A 22,040-nucleotide genomic window follows, 5' to 3' on the forward strand; every position below is an offset into this window, starting at 1 on the left:
TAACAACCAGCATCCCAGGGGGAAAAAGGCCCCAGTTTGTAGCCATTGCCAATTTCTGTAGTGTAAATACTCTCTCACCATGTCTGATTTCAAGCTACTAATGGTTTAATACCTGGCTTACAAACTTTCTAAAGATTTAATAATTGGCACGAGCCTGAGCTGGATCCAGAAAAGCCCTGGAAAAGACACTTGTTCACAGGGAGCTCGCAGACCAGGTTTGTGGGCGGGCTGCAGGAAAACACATGGTAAATAGCAGTGACAACCAACACTCAAACATTTCAGAGTAGTTACAAGGCAGCACAAGGCAGTGCGAAGAATCCATTTACATTGGATGGTATTCCATAAAAGGAAGGCTCCGAACGGAGTCTGGGCTGGCATTTCAGATGTGAAAGGATTCGGGATTCGATAGAGGGCAGGTAGATGTTTAAGAGGAGAGAAATGGCATTGGCAAAGGCTTGAAGGTGAAATCCGAAGAGTCAGGCTTAGGGGAGGGATGGGAATAGCATGGAGAAAGACCATGCAGTGAGTTGGAGGCTTAGATCTTGGACTCTTCAGCCTGAGAAAGGCAGTTTTGAATGTTGGTTGCATCACTGATATCTAGGAAGTTTATCACCTCTCTGGGCCTCTGTTCCCTAGTGCCGTCAAGGGGAGATGCAATCTACCCTTTAGTGATGTTGCGAGGATTAAATGAGATAATGATGCCAGAATGTGGGCATGGTGGTGTCTGGAGTCAGTGAGGGCTCCGTGAAGGGTGGCTGCTACTACTGCCACCTGCCCAGTCTCTCCCTCTCTAGGCTTCAGTGTCCCTAAGACCAGAGACTGCATCTTCCATTTCTTTCTTCTTCATGCCTGGCACAGGGTGTGGCACATTTTGGGTGTCCACATACTCTGACTGAGGACCCATCTCTGGGCTGAGGCTGGACCACCGAACACGTGTGGACGGCCTCCCCTCCTTGCCCTTCCCTGTACTAGTGTCAGGGGGCAGCTTTGAAAGCTTTGGGTTCACTACCTTCTTTTGTGTGGTGGAGCCTGTTACCTCGAGAGTTCCAGAGAGGCTGCTGCCCCTTGAGCCCCTTCCTTGTCTGTACATGCTCTCCTCTGTGCAGCAGTGTTAGGGAAGGGGTTGCTGTGTGGACCTCCTTTTGTTTGTTCCATACGCGTTTGTGGCGCTCCTGCACCTGGCACTGTGCTCATCGCTGGGAAGCAAGAGGAATAAGGCACAGACATCCCTCAGGGTCTCAGCTGATAGTGGGGTGGGGCCTCAGTTATAAAGTAGTGTTTACCTGCTGTGATGGAGGTGTGCATCCATGCCATGGCCAACGTAGGCACAGGCTCCACGATGGCCAGGGTGTTGGGTGAGCTCATGGGTCTTGCCAGGGTCTCCTTCCTCTCTTTGTAGAGGCTTCCATAAAGCCCTTTCTAAATTCTCAAAACATAAGTCCTTTAAAGAAAATCCATGTGTAAAATCTATCTACATCTTTTGGGAAAGATCTACTAAAAGTGCCCAACACATCGAATAAGATATTGATGCTACTAAATGGTTGAGAATTCTTATGGTACAGCAGGTTCCCCCGTCCCACATCGTGGCTCATTCTACTGCATATAAGCACGTGGAAGCCCATTGCTCAGGCGACCCAACTCTGACATCAGTTAGCGTTTGGCAGAAGACTACCCTTACTCTTTCTTCTCCTTTCTCCTGCTTTTCTTATGTTTTGTCCCATTCTGCTTTCTTTTTTAAAAAAATTCTTCTCCCCACAAACCTTCAAAGGACTCTCTTGGCACCACTCAGCCCCCAGTGGTTCTTAGGGTTAAAGAAATTGTTCATTCCTAGTTAAAATTTTTTTTGCACTGTTTTCAGCCTGTAGAAGAAAGTGTTGGTTCCAATTTGCCAGTAGCTTGCATTCCACCAAGAAGAAGGATCTGTCAGCACCAAGGGTGGTCCTGAAAGGATGGGGAATCTGGGGTGTGAGGGGTGCTGAGGCTAGCTCAAGAGTCAGGAACACATACACACACACACACACACACACACACACACACACACACAGACACTTTGAGTTAGGGCAATCAGAATCCCGGAAGGCTAGCAGATGATCTGAAATGCTGGAGGTCAAGGCAAAATGGTAGAGAAGAAACCCAAAAGACATTTTAAAAGCAAATGGACTCAAGCTTCAAAGAGCTAGGCAGGAGAGCTACTCATGGGTAATTAGAGCCAATGGGGTCAGGTTAGGGGCAGGAGAGGACACCGTTTGGAACGTACACTCTGGGAAGCCTTTCATACCAGGCTATTCCGATCCCAACAAAGCTTCCTCTGTTTGCCGCTGGAGTGAATCTGCTCAGGCCGTGGAGACAGAAGGGCCTGGGCAGTGCTAGGCTGAAGGGGACACATGGTTGGAACACAATGACAAAATTGACAGGGGTGCAGAGAAACTTTAATCAGCTTTGACCGTCTTTTTTTCTTTCTTTTTTGAGATGGAGTCTTGCTCTGTCACCCAGGCTGGAGTGCAGTGGTGCGATCTCGGCTCACTGAAACCTCCACCTCCTGGGTTCAAGCGATTCTTCTGCCTCAGCCTCCTGAGTAGCTGGGACTACAGGCACTCACCACCACACCTGGCCTTTTTTTTTTTTTTTTTTTTTGTATTTTTAGTAGAGACAGGGTTTCACCATTTTGCCCAGGCTGGTCTTGAACTCCTGATGTCAGGCAATCTGCCTGCCTTCGGCCTCCCAAAGTGCTAGGATTACAGGTGTGAGCCACCGTGCCTGGCCTCATCAGCTTTGACTTTCATTTTGGACCCTCTTTTCAGGTCAGTGGGTGACTGAACATTTTTTATAGTAACCTGCCATGCTTCAAACAGAAATATGGCACCACCTATCTATCTCATGGTGGTGAGGACAGGCTCTTTGGCCTGTGTTTTCATTCACGGGAATGGGTTTTGCTGAGCCTGTCACACTTCCTTTTCACCTAGGTTGTGACCCCAGATGCATGTTTGCCATGCTGGACTCAAAGGACTTCCTTTATTTATTTATTTTACTTTTGACATTGCAATTTGTGTAATTATTCATGTTTTCTCTTTTTCCTTGGAAGCTCAGAACCAAATTGCAGTGCATGTCTTAAAATGCACCTATTAGGCATCATTTTATTTATAATTCACCCTTGGCTTTATCCTATTTTTTTCACCTATATTTTCTTTAATTTCCTCACTTATTTTTCCTAATCTCTCTGTGTATATAATCCTCCTCAGTTCTTTGAGACATTAGACTTAGAGTTACATAAAAGTCATCCCCATAATATTCTGCCTCTACACTGAATAAATGTCCATTTAGAGTCTATAGGATGGCTTGCAAATCAATGCATGAAATCTCAACAAACAACCTTGGGCCCTAAGGGTTATATATGGCTATACATTAAATAAAAGACAAGTGCCTGTCCTCAAGGAGATTCTAATCCCAAGACATAGACAAAACATATAGATTTAAGTTAACAGGACTGTTTAGCTACAAAATTATAGAGGCATTATCAAGGGAAAGGCTTCACTTAATTCTTCATTCATCCAAGAAATATTACTGAGTACAGACTATGCATGAAGCCCTGGTTATGCCCTATGCAGCAATGTTGAGCAAGATATAGTCCCTGCCTTCCAGGAGTTCTACTTAGCAGGGAAACAAGTAAGAAGGCAATTACAATACGTGTAATAAAGCCATTGGTCCACACAGGCAGGATGCAACTCAGTCCTGGGAGGGAGTGGACTGGAGCAGCTTTCTGGAGGAGATGACTTGTAAGACTGAGCTAGCAGACAAGTGTAGAGTTGAGTAGATCCTTGGCCTCTTCCAGAAAGATGTGAGCCTTGGCTGTTGTGCCTTGAGTGAGTCCAGCAGTCTTTCCTTACCTACCACGGATGGATTCTTGCTTTACTTAAGGAGGTGAATGTTGACTCCAAAACTGCTTAAACTCCCTGACTTCTCTGCTTGAGGGCAGTATGGCTTTCCCTAGCTACACTGAGAGCTTCTTCTTAAAAGATATCCAGACCTCGAACTGACAGCACACGGGCCAATGGGTGCATGAAGCCGCCCACCCTCTCCTCCCCCGCACCAGACCATCCTGCTCTTTCAGTCCCAGGAGCTGAGCTAACTGCCTGGTGCCCACTGCTGTAGAAGCCCGGCGATGAATGGCAGGCACTAAGATGTCCATCGCTGTGGGAAGAAGGGAGCTGGGGCGGGCCAAGATGGCAGATGGCTTGGAGTGGCATGCTGTTTTCAGGCCCTCTACCTTTGTAGCCTGTGCCATTTGAAGCTGCCGGTTACTGTTTTTAGCTTGGCTTGACAAGAGAGCTTTTGTTGTCACTCAGGAATGCAGGGTATTTTTAGCGAAGAGATTCTGCTTCAGGCATGGGCATTGTGTTCTTCCAATTACAGGCATGGCCGAGGAGGGCTGGGCGCCGAATCACTTGAAAGATCAGCAGGCTCAGCTGAGAAATTCATAGAAAAAAGAGGTGGGCGGGGCTGCATAACCAGAACCCTCGGGTCTTGTGCGATTTATTTTATTTTATTTTTATTTTAATCTTGTCTCCTTGTTCCTCCTCAGAACTGACTGCTCAGGTGACATGGAGGTAGATCCCAGGAAGGAAGGAAGGGAGAGCAGGAAAGAAATTGCCTGGGGGTTGAAGAGCTACCGAAGAGAAACTACCCAGCCACGAAACCACATTTATTGAGCTCGACCATAAGAGAACAGGTGGTAGTGAAATGAAAATTGTAACTTTTCTCTTGAACTTGAAATCAATTTGTAGTTATATATATTTATTGATTAATTCAAAGGAATGACTGAATGAACAAATGTTTTCCCATCCATTTATTCATTGATGCTATAGCAATGTACAATTTTTGGTCTGGAAGATCTGTGGATCATCCAGCTTAATCTGTTTCCCTAGTTCTCTTCCCTGCCAGACACCCCTGTCCCTGCCCCTTCCAGAGATGAGGAAACTGAAGCCCAGAGAGGTCAGGTGACTTGCGCAAGGTCCTACTAATTAGCAGCAGCTTTGGGACTGGAACCCAGGTGTCCTGACACCAAGTTCCCTGTTGTTCTATATTTACATTGTTGGAAACATCTATCTTGCCTGCCTTTTTTCTTTCTCTCTTTTTTTTTTTTTGAGACAGAGTCTCGCTCTGTCACCCAGGCTGGAGTGCAGTGGCGCGATCTCGGCTCACTGCAAGCTCCGCCTTCCAGGTTCACGCCATTCTCCTGCCTCGGCCTCCTGAGTAGCTGGGATTATAGGCACACACCACCGTGCCTGGCTAACTTTTGTATTTTTAGTAGAGATGGGGTTTCACCAAGTTGGCCAGGCTGGTCTCGAACTCCTGACCTCAAGTGATCTACCCGCCTTGGCCTCCCAAAGTGCTGGGATTACAGGTGTGAGCCACCGTGCTCGTCCCCTTTTGTTCTTATCTTAATGAACAAATCAAAATAACAACTTAACAGACAGCCTGAGATGGGGAGTGGGCTGAGGGTTGGGTCCAGGGCCATGCTTAGAGCCTTGGAACCATGAGAGTTTTTCAGACTTCCTTCTTGGCTATCTTTTTTGGTTTTCCTCTGCTTAGGTGGGTATTTATTGAGCATCCACTACACAGAAGGCACGTGCTGGGTACGTTGACATGGATTATTTTATGAATTACTCAAACAGCCTGCAAGGAAGGCATCAGACCTGTCTTTTGAGATCTGAAGGCTGAGATAGAGAGGGGCTAAGGGGGTTTGCTCAAGATCAATGACAGCCAAGTGGCTGAGCCAGAATTAAAAGCCAGGTCTGTCTGCCACAATGACCAGGGCTCTTTCCACTGACACCCAGATGTTTTCACAATACTGTTGGGGCTGAGTTGTTTGGAGTTGTGGTCACTATGGTGGGCCCCCTGGCCGGTGGAGTGTGCTGTCTATGTTCTCCTGCAACCTGAATTTTCACGGAACCTGAAGATGGAAATGTGGGAGGAGATGTCATGTGCCCCATCACACTATTAACTTACTAATAAATGAAATGTCTCCCATCCCCACCGGAACTCTCTCCAGAGTGGGCCCAGCCTGTTCTACCACCTCCTTCCTTGGGCCTTCAACTTTGCTTTACAGCTGCGATGGCATCCCTGAGCTCTTACCTTTGTATCAGAGCTCTTTTTGTGTATATTTGTTTCTTGAGTGTATTTTTTATTTTTATTTTTACTTACTTTATTTATTTATTTATTTTGAGACAGGGTCTCACTCTGCCACCCAGGCTGGAGTGCAGTGGTGTGCTCATAATTCATTGCAGCCTCTATCTCCTGGGCTCAAGTGATTCTCCAACCTCAGCCTCCCGAGTAGCTGGGATTACAGGTGTGTGCCACCATGCTTGGCTGATTTTTAAATTATTTTGTAAAGATGAGATCTCACTATACTAGCTCAGGCTGGTCTGGAATTCTGGCTTCAGCCTCCCAAAGTGCTGGGATTTCAGGTGTAGGCCACCACACCTGGCCTGAGTGTATTTTTAAAAAATTCAGGTTAGTATAATTGAATGAGTGTTTATCAAATTCCTCCCAAGGAGCCAGGAGTGGTGTCACAGACATGGCTCTTCAGATCTTATGACAGGACTGGGCCTTGAGCCACTCACTTATTCTTTTAGCAAACATGGTGCCAGGCAGCCTCAATGTGCTGACAGTCTAGTAAGGGAGGAAGACAAGGACCCAGGTGACCAGGCCTCCCAGATGCCGCCAGCTGGTGGTGCAGGAGCTGACACTGCCTTTGGCCACTTAGTGGCCGTGGTACCTCTAAGTCCCAGGAAATACTCACACACCCCCTCCTCAACCTCTTCAGATGGCACAGGCTTCCGCATTAGGCTTTGTCTAGCACCCATAACTTACCTGTTGCACACAGATTCCAACATCCCATTGAATCCTGATGATATTGAGGGTCCTAAAATGACTCTGGGAATAATGAGGAGAACTGAGATCTAACTTTTCACAGGTAGGGAGGTTCCAGGTAGAACAGGAGAAGGAAAGCTCTAAGTTCCATGGAGTTAAGAGATGTATCTGTCTTGTTCATTTTTATATCCCCAGCTCTTGCTCTGGTGTATGGCAAATACGTATGATGTTGAATGAACAGGTATGTGCCTGAGAATGGATTGATTCAATGGGTTCTTTCCAATAAACTCATAAGGAGATCTACAGGTGTCTGAAGAGTTGAATATTGACATGTTGGAAAATAATAGAATGCACTTGAGATCATTCTGAATTTGAGAACACATCACGGGGTAATTAAAAAATATACTTTTTTTGGGTGGGGGAGGCCGAGGCGGGCAGATCACAAGGTCAGGAGACAGAGACCATCCTGGCTAACACAATGAAACCCTGTCTCTACTAAAAATACAAAAAAAAAAAAAAAAAAAATTAGCCAGGCATGGTGGCAGGTGCCTGTAGTCCCAGCTACGAGGGAGGCTGAGGCAGGAGAATGGCGTGAACCCGAGAGGCAGAGCTTGCAGTGAGCCAAGATTGCACCACTGCACTCCAGCCTGGGCGACAGAGCAAGACTCCGTCTCAAAAAAAAATACACTTTTTAATTAAAAATATTTTAAAAATATAAAACATTCAAGAAGCTGGCTATCTTGTGTTTGTTCCTCTCCATCCACTTGCCACGCTTTTCAACTCTCCTCTCAGCTCAGGAGACTTTTTGGGCCTTCTGGCTTCTCACTGGGGAGTCCTGCTGGGAGACAGAGGGAAGAAAGTGGGTGAGATCTGGGTACTTTTCCTGGCTCTCTCCCCGAGGGGTGCCCTCAGGCTGTGTCGAGGACTCTCTTTTTTTCTTGTGGCTACTCCCTCTGCCTTCATCCCTTTAGGCCGAGGATAGTAACAGCTCCTCTGTTACGAGCCTTGGCTATGATACCAATGCCTTGTGACTTCCCTTTACCTTGCCCACGTCTTTAAAAAATGGTTCCTATATTAGACCTTCATCAAATTAGACTGATTTGAGTGTGCCATCTGTTTCCTATTTGCAGCCTTGATGAAATAGGTGCAGCTCCCCATAGCATGAACACTCATTGAGGGTTTCTCCTAGCTCACCCATGTTCACGTGCTCCTCCCGTTTCTTAATAGTATGTGAGCTAGTTGGTTCCACCAAATATGTCAATCAAGATGGAGGTGCCAGTTCATTTTTATAGATGCATAAACACTTATCTGGGGGAAAAGGGGTAGTTCTATCATTCTGACACACACCATCACACCCAAAATTAATTAATTTAGAAATAATCCATGTATGGGTGAGGCCTGCCATTCCTATCATGAGAAAACTGAACTGGAGGAGGGAGCTCCCTTCTGCTCTTTCCTAACTGGATCTCTGTGTCTTAGTTTGGGTTCTCGTGAGGCAGAGCTTGCCATAGGGATTGGGGTACACCTGGCTAATTGGAGGCTGTCCTAGGAGAAGGCAGATGAGGGAGGCTGGGTAGAGCTGAGAAGGCCCTAAGCGAGGATGTGGATAGTCGCGGGGGCTGGGATGATCTCAGCTGGAGACCTGCCTCAGCCTGGGCCACAGGGAGCTCCTGTGCGTAGATAACACCAGTGAGTGGGGCCCACCTTGAGGCAAGGGGGCTGCCTTTCCACCTTCATGTCAGTCAGGTATTGGCCGTGGGCTGCCTTCGGCGGGGGTTTACACTGGGGTTGAGGTGGCTGCTGTTCTGTTGAAGGAAGTTCTTTGAGCAAGGAGGCAGCTGTGGGCCAATATTCACAGCAGCTGGGGGATGGGAGCACTGGCCAGGTAGAGGGGACCTAGCGGGGAGCTCCAACAGTGTGGATGCTACAGGATTCTCCTTATCTGTGTTCAGTGAGAGATAATTACCACTATTTTCATTTGACAAATCACCAAATATTTTTTATCTTTTTCATTCTTACATTCCTCCTCCCCTCCCTTCTTTTCTTTCTTCCTTCCACAAACATTTAGTGAATCCATGCTACGTGAGGACCAATGGGACATTCAAGACACTGTCTCCTCCTAGGAGGCTCTTTCTGTCTCATTGGGATGCCATGACCTGCCACACCAGGTGGCGGGTGAAGCAATGTTTAATTGACTATTCACTTTTGTGGCTGTACCTAGAGATCAGTGAGGACTGGGATTATTTCAAGGGATTTAAAGGTAAAGCCACATTTCCAAAGCTACCTGTGAACTGACTGTTGCCAAAGATGGCACCCACGGCCTCCCATTTCCCCTTCACTGGCTTCTTTCTTTCTTCTCAAATGATACTAATGGAAAACAAATGCTGTGTTCAGTTCACACTCCTACTTAATTCAGTTCCTTTTAAGCCATGCAGAGTTTCTGTTTCAACAAAAACCTCCATAGGGGTGACTCTGCAGATCTCCTAAAACAATGGGGTGGGGACAGATTGTGGTGGAGTGAGGTGGAGGCACAAACGCCACCTTTCAATTCTGCGGCGTAACCCAATCCCTCTTTCGGCTCTATCTGTGGGATGAAACCAGGTGGAAAAGTGAGGGGGAGGAGACCATGGCAGTTTTGACCTATTCAAGGCATGTGGAAAAGGGATTCTTTCTTCACCTGGGAAATCAGAGTGCACTTTTGATGCAATCCATGTCTATCTATCCTTTTAGTGCCAGTAGGGCTACCCATTTGGGCACTAGAACCTCAGGCCCGGTTGATAGGCATTGGGATACGGAGGATAGAAATCCTTCAAGGCAACAGGATTTTCTCCAGGTTCCCTGGCTCGAATCCGCTGAACCTGTAATCAGCAACTCCAAGTCACAAAATGTCGGGTTGGAGCCGCTGCCATTGGAGAGAAGGGGAATTGGCACTTGCTTATTGTCCATGGCAGGGATCCTGAAAGGTTCCTGTTTAACATTTTATTTGCATGAAAAAAAAATTCACCAGCATCTCTGAGGACAGGAGTCAGTGCCTGTGTATGTGGTGTGCATGGGTTAGGGTGGTGTGGTGGGAGCTTCCATATTGCACTGAAATCGACTCCTCAACAGCAGCCATTTTCAACAAGATCCCTGTGTTTGCTTGGCAAAATCCTGGATTGGAAAAACAAAAGCTTTTCCTGCCAGATTCCATTAATTTCAGCAGCAGCAGTAGCAGCAGCAATCTGGTTCTCTCGGATGAATGTTTGACAAGAATGGCCAGGACTGAGGTTCGGGAGACTTGTGGGGTCTTTTTCAGTGAAAGTCTGGGCTCTTTCTGCCCATCTTTCCTCTTGTATAAGAGCGTGTATCCAGACAGAATGACAGACACATGAACCAGTGGCATGCCATAAGTAGGTGGGAGTATAGGAGGACTCTGAGAGGGGCAAAGGATGTGGAAGAAATGGGCAGTGTGGGGCCATGGCGGTGAAGCCTCCTCCGACCCGGCTAAGGGAGGAGTCAAGGGTCACTCCTCACCTGCTGGGGCTGGAGAGCATCCAGGGGGCCCGATGCTGGAAAGTGAGACCACAGGGTGAGTCCCGAGGTGTCTGCCCTCTGGGGTTGCAGCACACTGCCTGGAAAACAGGAGCTGCCCAGTCAGAAAAGCTGACGCAGATGGAGGGGCCAGTGACCCGGAGTGAGCAGGAATGGGGCTGGTGAATTTCCACTGGCTCCACTGTGGGGTCGGAGTGTATGTGACCCACCTGGAATGTTTAGGAGTCTGGTGAGCAGGCTGCAGGAGGGATGCGACCCTGAGATGCTCTCTCATGGGCATGGGCCTAAAAGCTGGACTGGAAGTTTGATGATGGTAGCAGATAAAGGGCTATTTGCTCAGTTTATTTTTCAGTTGCATTTTTTTCCTTTCCTTTTTTTTTAGAGTTTTTAGATTTTCCTTTCCTTTCTTTCAGATTGTGGTCAGATACTTTATAGAACTGGGAGGATCAATGAACATGTGACTAGCCACATGAACTAATGGCATGGCCACCAGACTTTCCCTGGAGGTCAGAGGAAAGGTGGGATGGGAGGCCCCTGGAGAGGTGGAGCTGCTCGTGTGTAAAGAGCTCCTTGTTTTATCACCCCTAGAAGAGAGGGCACTGTTGGATTAATCACTTCCCTGACTTATCTGCTTAATCACAACTCTTCTAATGGATTGCAAGTGTTGAAGGGGTCATATAAAAACAAACAGCCAGCAACAGCAACCCCTTCACTCTCTACCCCTCAAATACCTGACAGCCCTTTAACACAGCACTAAGCTATTGTGATGGGGATGACTTAGGAATGATGATGAGGCAGCCCTACTGATGGAGTCCTTGCTATGGCCCTTTGCATTGGGCTGAGTATCGTGCCACATTGTTACACTGAGTCCTCGGCTGATCCTGAGAGGGCATGATTATCGTCATTTTACAAATGAGAGCGCTGAGGCTTGACCTTAACTTCCCAAAGTCACATAGGGCTGGGACTTTTACCCAGTTCATTCACTTGCAAGGCCTGGCTGGAGCATCTCAGAGGGTGAGGGAGTCCTGGTGCTGAGGTGCCTTTGCTGGCCCAGGTGTGGGAGAAAGGAGCCTGGGCCCCAGCCCCCAAGGTCCTACCCGGAGGCCTGACATCCTACAGGTGGACTCACTCTACCAAGTGCCAGTGGTTGAATTCCAGGACTGCATCTGGGTTTCTCACTGGATTTGGGACTTCTGGGATATAGAGTGTATGTGTAATATTACATGCACGCGCGCACACACACACACACACACACACACACACGCAGAGAGAGAGAGAGTGCACAAGCGAGAGAGGGCACAAAGGGCGGCATGATTCTTTGGAGTAAATTACTTGGGAAGCCCCTATACCCCTATGGAATGGATTAAAGGGGCCCTAGATTTTGCTCATTCCCTTCTGCATAAAAGTGAAAGTGAAGGACTAAAGGAGGGAGAAGAAGGGACTGAGAGTGAGCGGAAATCATCCCTGACATCCACAACCACAATTTGGAAGGGGCTTAGCACTACCTGAAGTAGCTTGCCTGTTGTTGTCCAAGGCTTTGACAGGTATCCAAAATGAAAGCAGACCGTGGGAACTTTATTTTTTCTGAGACATTGAAGATGCCTAATAAACACCCTTTGATTATTTGACTACTTAAGATTATGGCAAACATACTGTGCATTTAACATTGCTCCTCTCATATACATTTTTGTTCTAGTGTTTTGGAGTCTTCTTTGTGAACATCTCATTTTCTAAGTAGGGCTCTTCTTGCCTTTTGTTGGTCTATGTGAGTTTGGCCCTTCTAGATGAGTAAAAGGTCCTGTGGGCTGCATGGAAGAGATATGTGTTCTGACTGGACAGTCCATATGATTGCATGTGTTTTTCAGGTGAGTGAAACCTGACCTGCTACAATATAAGCTCCATGAGGTAAGGACTTTTTTAGTTTTGCTCATGGTTGTATACGTGGCCCTTAGAGTACAGCCTGACACATAATAGATGCTTAATAAAAATTTATTGAATGAATTCCCATAGCTACAGATATGGAAGCTCCATCAGTGATCTTAATCTGAGTGTCCTCAAGGACTCACCTTTTACTGCTGGAAGCACAGGGAGACACCAGGACATTCATTCTTCTGTCCTTATAATGTCAGAATGTACCTGGCTCTCTCTTAAACTTGGGGGTCTTTCCCCAATCTAGCCACAATCAGGCTGGGTGACTTGGCTAGTGGAAAGCTCAAGGTTAAAGTCACACTCAGCAGATGGTCCATATGCCAGGAAAAATGGTGCTCTTGTGTAGCTTACCATGATGCAGGGCCTCGCACCCCTTCACTGCTGATGGGCAAGGTTGGTGGCATGTGCCTATATCCTTCTGGATGTTTCCATTGATCATCTCATCTTCCAGGGTGTGGGGGTTAGTTTTATGTATCAACTTGGTTAGGCTGCAGTACCTAGTTATTTCATCAAATACAAATCTAGGTATTGTTGTGAAAGTATTTCATAGATGTGATTAGCACCTAAAGTAAAGGGGGTTACTCTTGAAAATTTGGATGGACCTCATCTAATCAGTTGAAGACTTTAAGCCGAAACTGAGGTATCCTGGAGGAGGAATTCTACCTCAAGACTGCGGCACCAACTATCATCTGCTCTTCCAGCTTCTTGACCTTACCTACAAATTTCAGACTTACCTGCCCTATGGATTTTGAACTTGTCGGAGCCTGTAATTGCATAAGTCAGTTCATTCTCTGTTTCTCCATACACACAGATGCACACATATACACACATATTTTCATAATTTCTTAGGGAAGGATTGTATTATTATTCTTGTTCAATAACCACATTTATGGAGCACACAGTGTGATATCTAGCAAGTCATATTCTGCACTGTGCCATATACTACAGAGGCAAAGGAGGAAAAACATGGCTTTCCCTCTCAGGTCCTTACAGAACGGTAGAGAACTATCGCATCTCTTTTCTCCTGTTCTTTGGTGTATCCCCTCATAGCACTGGTAATTTCACTGGAAGGTCTTCCTCTGCTCAAGAGGTGAAGAACTTGTCCTTCAAGGCCTCTTTAGAGGCCTCCTGGAGCTGCTTGAGAAGGTGGAAAGCGGAGGAGTGATGATGTAAAGAGCACGTTGGAGTGGATTCACTGCTTTCCGTTCAACCTGGTGCCACACGATTATTACTGCCTTTCCAGGGCAGGTCCCACGCTTGTCCTCTAGAAGCCCGTGCAACCAACCAAGTGCAAAGTATTAGGTTGGTGCTAAAGTTATTGCGGTTTTTGCCATTACTTTCAATGGCCAAAACCGCAATTACTTTTGCACCAACCTAATACGTTGTGGGGATGCCGTGACAGACCAGGGGCAAAGTGCTAAGGAATGCGAGGAAGGGGAGGTGGTTCTGACTGAGGAAGGCCAGGTATGCCTTTTCAGAGGCTCTGTTTTAGTTGGTTTTGGATGAAGACTGATCTTTGGCCAGAGGGACAAGGACAGGGGTGTGGAGACTGTTTGTGAGGGAGGCACAGAGGCAGAAAAAAAACATGAGGCAGGTTCAGGCAGCTCTGAAAGTATGTTTAGTATTCAGCTTAGCTGATTTGTGGTTGAAAGAAAAGGAACACCAAGTGTATGTGGACCTGAATAAGAAAATAGTTGAACTGAAAGTTCAGATTTGGGATCACGTGCAAAGCAGAATGACAATACTTTGTGAATGGGTGCTGTTTTCCATTTCTGTTCGGTCTGCTCAATGGCTCCAATGTGTTTAGTGCATGCTCTGTGTAACAGGGCTGGATCTGTCATGTTCCAGGAACTGTTGAAATATATAAAGTTGAATTTATATAGGGTCCTACCTTCAAGGAGCTTATAAGCCAACAGGGAAAGACAGACAGGTGATTTGTTTATGATACTACAGTGTTATAATTGCTGGGCTGGGTGCAGTGGCTCACGCCTGTAATCCTAGCCACTTGGGAGGCTGAGGCAGGAGGATTGCTTAAGGCCAAGAGTTGGAGATCAGCCTGGGCAACACAGTGAGAGCCCCGTCTCTAAAAAGATTAAAAAGTACTAGCCAAGTGTGGCTGTAGTCTTAGCTACTTGGGAAGCTAAAGTGGAAGGATTGCTTGAGCCCAGGAGTTTGAGGCTGCAGTGAGCTGTGGTCATGCCACTGCACTCCAGCTGGGCAACAGAGTGAGACTGTGACTCAAACAAAACAAAACAATGGAGAGACTTGAGCATGTTTAGGATGCATACCAGTGGAAAAGAGGCAGCAGAAAGGGACCAAAGAGACAGGAGAGGGGGAAAGTGACGGATGGAATGTGGCCCCTGAGGAAATGAGAGGGGGTGAGATCCAGAGCCCAGGTGGAAGGGTCTGCCTCAGATGAGATGAGGGAAGCAGAAGGAAGGAGAAAGGCCAGGCTAAGGTGGAGGCAGGTCAGTGATGGGGAGGAAGCTTAGGGAGTGCTTGTTCCAGGGCCTCCAAAGTCTTTGTGAAGGCATTGGGGCTAAGATCCAGTGAGGGGAAAGTGGTAGGGGAGGGGTTTTAAGGAGAGAGAAAATATCAAGAAAGGTTGTTGAAGAGGATGGAGAGGGAGGACTTGGTGGAAGGATTGAATTTGGAGGCCACAGATTCATGGGGAGTCCAGCTCAAAAGATGGTGTGGGTTTCTCCAGCCTCAGCAACCTGGCTGCAGGAGCAGGGGAGTTTGATGGATCCCAGTTCAGACTTTAAGTCATGGACACAGGCCTCACAGAGAATGGTGAGGAAGTGATTGAAGGGGTGGACTGTGAGGTCTCAGAAAGGGAAGGATGTGAAGCCGGAAGGGAGCTGATCAATGGAGAGAAGTTAACTTGTCAGGGACAGAAAGTGCCAGTGATTTTTTTTTTTAAAAAAGGGAAATTGAGGAAAAGAATAAGAGACTGTGATCAGAGCAGGGGATTGACTTTTCAGACTGAAGATGTTGAAAAGATGAGATGAGGGTTGGAAGGGGTCAGAGTCGATGGAATGGAGATGGTCAAGGGATATGAGGCTGAAGCAACGAAGGGTTGTCCTTACACCTGTGAAGTCCCCCAGGATGATGGCAGGACCAGGATGGAGAGGAAGGCACAAGATAAGCAAGGAGGGGTGACAGGAGGTTAGAGCACGCAGCCTTCATCCTGATGGCTGCCATCCACTCATCTCTTTTTCCACCCTGCTCATTCACTTGTTGTTTGACTCTCTAGTCCTGTCTTTACGGAAGGCCTTCTTAATATAATGATAAGGATTTCCAGATTTTAGAGGCTGAGGAAAGTCACATGAGGAAGAAGCACAAAGCAGCTGTGAGCACAGGTGTGTGGCAGAGGTGAAGACCCACCTGGCCGAGAGGGAGGTGCTGTGGCATGAAGTTGTTTCTGAGTTGCTGCAAGCCCTTGGGAGGTGATGTCCCTCATCTCTTGTGATACAGTAGGCCATCGGGCTTTTGCTCAAAGTTGCAGAGAGAACATTAGAAGTACTGCTTTGGGCCTTTGTAGAGCTCAGACTTGCCAGGGTGGAGCGGGTGTTGTAGCTTGAATTGGATGGGAGACACTGGGATTCTCAAGGCTTTCTGACCTTGGCCAACATCATTGCTGAGTGGAGAGATGGGTACCCCTGGGCATCCAGGCTGATAGACATTGGTCTTTTTTGGCTGGGTGGGTTAGCTCATGATGCAGCAAGCCTTCAAGGTGACATGTCATTAATTGCTGAAGTGGGTGACACAGCTGGACAGTGCTGTGGGCTATCAGGCTGAAGTGGTCAAAGAGGAGTTCCTGGGGGCGCTGGGTAATTAAAAATGGGTGCATTTCTACAGCCTGGGCTTAGAGGTGGAGTAGGTTGGGCACAGCTGGGGGCAGTGCTTCAGAGAAGCCAGGGACTGCATTAGACCTAAGGGCTCCTTTCTGGCTGCTGCACCAATGGGCGTGGGGTGAGAGTGTGGCAGCCCTCCTCTGCCACAGCAAGAGGCTTGGTGAGTTGGTTATGCTGCAGATTAGCACAGTGTATCATATTGGCCTCCCTGCATATTTTGTGGGTGTTCAGAAGTCTTTTTGCTCACTTCCAATGTTCCCACTTGTTTTCATAGCAGGCACAGAATGGCTGCTACAACCAACCACCTCTGGAAGCCTGGGTGGGCAGAGGGTGGACCTGGTCTGCTCCCCATCATATTGTCAGCATCATTGATTCCTGCTGAGACCACTAAGTTCCCGTTTTATGTACTTGACAGGCCATGGTGTGGCATTCCTATCTATCAGGAAAATCTTTATTAAGTTCCATCTGAGGAAACTAATTCTAGTTTAAACCATCTGTCTTAGATCCATCCTTCTCTATTAGAGAAAGAAGGCTTCACATTTAGGGCAAGGAAGTAGAAAAGGAGAGAGGGAGAAGACACTTTTGTGCCATTTCTTTGATGAGGAAACTGAGCATGCTGGGGGCCCAGCCTGAGGAAGCAGAAGAATGGTCTAGTTCCTGACCACCTTACGTCATGCCCCAAGTGACCCTTCCCTCTCTGCAGTGGCTTCTTGACATTTCTGTATGTTTCCTGCTTAGGGGCAATTCACACATTTTGTAGCGGTCCCTGCTTTCCCTTCAGAAGCTGTAGTGGGGGCAGATGTGCCCTGCCTGTCTCTTGGTATTGATGCACAGGCAAGTGATGTAGTCTTGGCCAGTTTGATGGACTTTCAATCTGGGGAGAGCAATGAGCATCCAGTGGAGTCTGTGCATGTCCAGTGGGTGACAGGAGTGGCCAGGGGCCACTGGCCTGACTATACCCAGGGATGCAGTGGCTGCGTCCTCAGCTCCTGCCTCCTGCTCTGCAAGTTGGCTGCTTCTCTGTTATTCCCATTGCCTCTGTGAGCTTCCCATGTTCCTTCCCACAAATGTCTTTTCTCCTGAAGTCACTGTGTTCTGTTGACAGCTGAGAAACACTCCCCCCAGCCACAGTGCTCTTTCTCCATATTCTTAAATTCAGCAGGCTTTGGTCAACGTTCTTTGACTGACTTGGGTCTATAATCTTTTCCTCTTAACTATGTTTTAAGATCCTTGAGGATCTTAAACATGTTAAACATTTTTTCTCAAGAATGTCTGTCTCATTTTGTTTGCTCTGTAAATGTTCATTGAATGAATGAATGACGATGTGACGGAGTATGTGTATTAGTTATCTACTTTCGAAAATTTTTAATGGATGCATAGTTATACATATTTATGGGATATATGTGATATTTTGATAGAAGTATACATGTAATGATCAGATCAGGGTAATTGAGGTATCCATCACTTCAAGCATTTATGATTTCCTTGTATTAGGAACATTCCAATTCCACTTTTTGAGTTATCTTGAAATATATAATAAGTTATTGTTAATTGTAGTTGCCTTAGTTGTCTATTGAGGCACAACAACTACCCTAGAACTTAGTGTCTTAAAACAATAATAAACACATTATCTCACACAATTTCTAGGAGCTGGGAGGTTGGAGTGGCTTAGCTGGGTAGTTCACTTATGTGGTTGTACTCATGGTTGCCTGGGGTTGCAGTCTTATGAAGGCTGTGCTAGATTTAGAGAATCTACCACCAAAATAGTTCACTCATGTGGCTGGCAAGTGTGAGTGCTGGTTACTGGCAGGCGCCCTCAGTTTCTATCCATGCGTACATCCTCATTGGGCTACTTGAGTATCCTTATAACATGGCAGCTGACTTCCCCCAGAGCATATGAACCAAGAGAGTGCAAAGCAGAAGGTGGTATCTTTTATGATCTAGCTTCAGAAATCACACTTCTTCATTTCTGTGCTATCCTATTGTTTACACAGGTCAGCTCTATCAGTGGAAAAGACCACACAGTGCATAAAGACCAGGAACCCAGAATCACTGAGGCCATCTTGGAGGCTGTCTACCACAGCATGACTCACAAAGACAGCCAGAAATGGATTTGCAGGATCAGGGCATAGCTCAGTGAGATACTTAGGAGACCACAGGGGAAGCTAAAAATGATGTTGGCCTGGCTGACTCCGAGGATAAAAGCCAGGAGGTCTGTCTGTCCTCTGTGGTTGACCTTACCCAGGGGTCTTCACTTTCAGTTTCCTGATGTGGTGAGACCTAATGACCATCTCCCCTCACCCCTGCCATTCATACTCTGATTTTGACAGGCCTGGAGGTGGGGATGGGGGAAGGTGAGCTGAGCAGAGTTGGAAAGCTTCTGTCAGAGGGACCTTACCAACGCCTTTCACTCCCAAGAAACTTTCCTCATCATTTACTCTTCTTGTTATGATGGCACCAAGTTCATCTCTTGCTGTTTGGCTTTAAGAAGATGAGTGGATTGAATAGTGTCCTCCCTCAAAATTCATGTGCACCTGGAGATCGGCTGCACATGTGACCTTATTTGGAAAGGAAATAGGGTCTTTGTAGATATAATTAAGGTAAGGATCAAAATGAGAACATACTAGGTTGGAGTAAGCCCTAAATCCCATGAGTGTCCTCACAAGAGATAGAACAGAGAGCCATAGAGCAGGAGGTGATGTGAAGAAGGAGGCAGAGATTGGGGTGATGCCTCTACTAGTTGAGGAGCACCAAGGATTGCCAACAGCCACCAGAAAGTAGGAGAGAGGCACGGGGCATATTGTCCCACAGAGCCTCCAGGAGGGACCAGCCCCTTCTGACCACCTGCATGTCATACTTCTTGTCTTCTGAGCTGTGAGAGAATAAATTTCCATTGTTTCAGGCCACCTGGTTTGAGGTCATTTGTTATGGGAGCCCTAGGAAACTGATGGATAAATGGAGTAAAATAAAATCTTTGAAAGATCTTCTAAGACCAGCCATGATTTAGATGGGTAACTGGAAGCAGGAGGGGGTTTTAGTTGGGGGGCAGGGTGGGGGCAGAGGTGGTCTTTTCCATAACTTGGAAAACCTCAGAACAGCGTGTTCACCTGGGGCTTTAGGACCAGACCTTCCTGCCTCCCCCACACAGTGGTGCTCTACCCAATGAGACCCCTGGGATTGCTGATTCTTTGGGGTGGGTGTGGAGGCCAGAGGGCTTAGCACTGGCTTCTTCACTGGAAAAGGTAGAGTGGAAAATTGGACCTATTCTATCCAGTGACCCATTCATTGCTTAATCAGCGAGTCATCCAGTGATCAATTAACTCATTATTAACTCAAGGTTTACTATGAGCAAAGCTGTGCCATTTATTTCTTCCACTTTTTTTACTGTGTCTACTCCTATGTTTCATCCAGGGGCCAAACACTTTTCCTAAGGCTGATACTGTTCCAGTGAGGTGGAAAGAAGCTGCTATCGCAATTCATACCAACTTAATCATATTATTACCAATGATCACATGGATTTCTCAAGAGGGTATTTGCATTTTGAAAGTGGGATCTGGAAAGCTCCATAATAGCTCTCCAGTGCTGGGGCTTCAACTTTGTTGTGGTGAGGGTAAGTCTTCTTCTTTCCTACAGCTCCTCATTCTTGGAGCAAAGAGGACTCGGTTCTGCTTTGAGTCATTTGGTGACAAGCTAAAGGGGTCGGCTTCTCTGTACAATCCGAGGTGGGGCAGGACTGGGATTGGGGACAAGAGAAACTGAAGGAACCATCCCTGCCCTTGGGCAGCTTCACTTCCAGCCCCTCAAGGGCGAAGCGGTAGGGATGGGATAGCTCAGCCCAGGGCTTCCTCCTGGGGTAGAGTTGACCTTGAGAGGGGCAGCACTGTCCCCAGTCCCTTCCTGCGGGGTTCTTTAATGCCAATGTGAACAGTCTGGAAATGGAATCCCTGGGACCCCTCCCTATCACCATTATTATAAAAAACTCCAGGATTGTAGCTGTGGAGCCTCGGGCTTCAGGAATGCAGCCTGTAATTACCTCGCTTCTAAATGCTCATGGTAATGGATGATGAGGCCTCATGCTTCAGACCGGTTAAATTGCTGTGTGACTTGGTTGCAGTTTAACTCGGCAGATGACATGCTCATACTTGGCAAAGGGAGAGAATGTGAACTATTTGGGGATTGTTAACTTACAGCACAACCTGGAAATTGACGGAGAAGCTCTGGAAAGGAGAAGTCAGCAAAATCTTGTACCAAGAGCTGATTCCTCATGACCACCTCCCCTTTGCTTCAGACCTGGCCCTGTGTCACCCGGGGTGAGGGTGTTGAGGTGGGTGTGAAAGTGCCGGGGGATCTCCCAGGCTCCCACGCATGCACCCGGCACTCTGCTGGATGCTGAGGGGAAGAATGCTGAAGACAAGAGCATGCCCGTCTCTGTCCTGCAGGAATGTGCTCCCATGGGGGCAAACCCACAGGCCTCTGTTTCAGAGGTCACTGTAGGCACTCTGCAGACCTACAAATTGAAGATCTAGGGCTTCATGGTGACTGAGTCATCTTGCCATGGGGCTTGGGGGATGATGGAAGTGTAACAGAGAAAGTGATCTCTGAATTGGACATTGGAGAATGCATAGGATTTGGGCAGGCTGAAGGGCAAAGCTAGATAGAGAGTGACCAAGAGGCCTGGCTTGGCCAGTAAAGGCAGGCTGTGAGTAGTGTGGCTGGATCACGCTGTGGGAGGGCGAGTGAAAGGGTAGCGTGAAAATCAGAGGGCACTGGGGTGGTAAGCCGGGGCTGGGCTGTGAGTCCAGATTCACCCCTTTCCCAAGGAAATGCTTCCAGTGAACTCACAAATGCAAGCCTCCCCTGTCACAGTCCCACTGCCACACCCAGACCCTGGTGTCGTGCCTCCGCTGGGACTGAACATGAGCTAGTCAGGCTGGGGTCTGCTATGCTGGGCGAGGGCCTGAGAGCAGAAGGATGGTGCCAGAAACCATCTGGCCAGCTCCAGAGACCCTGGGCACTACCCTTCCACTCCCCTCTTCCTGCCATGCCCTTGAAGAGGGACTGGGGTCTGCACATGGTCATTCCTAGCCATGGTTTGAGCCTCTCCTCTCCTCCTCACTCACCTCCCCTGGCTTATGTTCTGAAAGGGTGAGCTCCAGCTCCAGAGAATTTGACCTTGGGGTGAAGACCTAGCCGCAGTGAGGTTTGCAGGTGGACTGCAGCTGGCCCTGTGCACTTTGGGGCAAAGTGCTCCCCGGGGTCTGTTCTGTCTGCCGGGAACAGATATGTGATGTGGCACTTCCCACCACCCCAGGGATGGGCTACTGTCCCTCCTCAGAGGGACCATCGGGCCCTCATCAACATCACCTCCACGGTCTTTCCTCCTCCTCCTCGCTGCCTTTCTTTCATTCGCCGGGCCCCAACCGCTTCCAGAGCTCCTTATACATTTGCTACGAATCTTTATTTCCAGATTAGTCACCATGCACACAAAATGGAGCGTCCCTGATTTGAGGAGCAAAAACAGTGATTACTAGATTGGTTCTCTCTCACAGAATGTGGAGGAACAAACAATGCCACACAATTTTAGTTTGTATAGCGTCTTTCAAACCACGCAATGCCCCGGGCACAGCGCGGAGTTGCTGTAAATAATACAATAACCGAGATAAACATACTAAAAATCTTTGCATCGAGCTTCCTTTTGTCCTGCTATACTCAGCCAGGGAGGCTGGAAGGAAAGAGATGGGGAAGGTGCAGCCCCCAGACCCTGGGGGAAAGCCAGTGGGGGCTCGGGGTGCGGCTGGAGGGAGGCAATGTGGGAAGGGAGGTGGTGGGAACTGCAGTCAGAAACAGCTGCGT

At 47.6% G+C, this 22,040-nt stretch overlaps 1 protein-coding gene across 2 annotated transcripts in view, besides 3 other annotated features; it reads left to right on the top strand.

Moving 5' to 3' along the window:
* The window catches only part of RPS6KC1 (ribosomal protein S6 kinase C1), an 811,495-nt gene that overhangs the window by 344,343 nt on the left and 445,112 nt on the right, over positions 1–22,040 (top strand). The window contains exon 14 of one of the 2 annotated variants that reach the window (XR_007058662.1): positions 4,580–4,823. The exons of the other annotated variant lie outside the window; for it this stretch is intronic. The gene's annotated coding sequence lies outside the window, so the exon portion shown is untranslated. Of the gene's footprint in view, positions 1–4,579; positions 4,824–22,040 lie in introns of those variants that run through there. 2 annotated transcript variants of the gene reach the window in all.
* Positions 3,648–4,184: an enhancer, noted in NCBI's record as "H3K4me1 hESC enhancer chr1:213572574-213573110 (GRCh37/hg19 assembly coordinates)". NCBI's record gives its function as "activates a minimal SCP1, AML or CMV promoter by ChIP-STARR-seq in naive H9 embryonic stem cells {active_cell/tissue: H9 hESC(naive)}" and the evidence as "EXISTENCE:reporter gene assay evidence [ECO:0000049][PMID:30033119]".
* Positions 4,185–4,720: an enhancer, noted in NCBI's record as "H3K4me1 hESC enhancer chr1:213573111-213573646 (GRCh37/hg19 assembly coordinates)". NCBI's record gives its function as "activates a minimal SCP1, AML or CMV promoter by ChIP-STARR-seq in naive H9 embryonic stem cells {active_cell/tissue: H9 hESC(naive)}" and the evidence as "EXISTENCE:reporter gene assay evidence [ECO:0000049][PMID:30033119]".
* Positions 13,669–13,869: a silencer, noted in NCBI's record as "peak692 fragment used in MPRA reporter construct". NCBI's record gives its function as "represses an SCP1 promoter by STARR-seq MPRAs in K562 erythroleukemia cells {active_cell/tissue: K562}" and the evidence as "EXISTENCE:reporter gene assay evidence [ECO:0000049][PMID:32103011]".

The sequence above is a fragment of the Homo sapiens genome, chromosome 1, assembly GCF_000001405.40.
Source record: "Homo sapiens chromosome 1, GRCh38.p14 Primary Assembly".
NCBI lineage: Eukaryota > Metazoa > Chordata > Mammalia > Primates > Hominidae > Homo > Homo sapiens.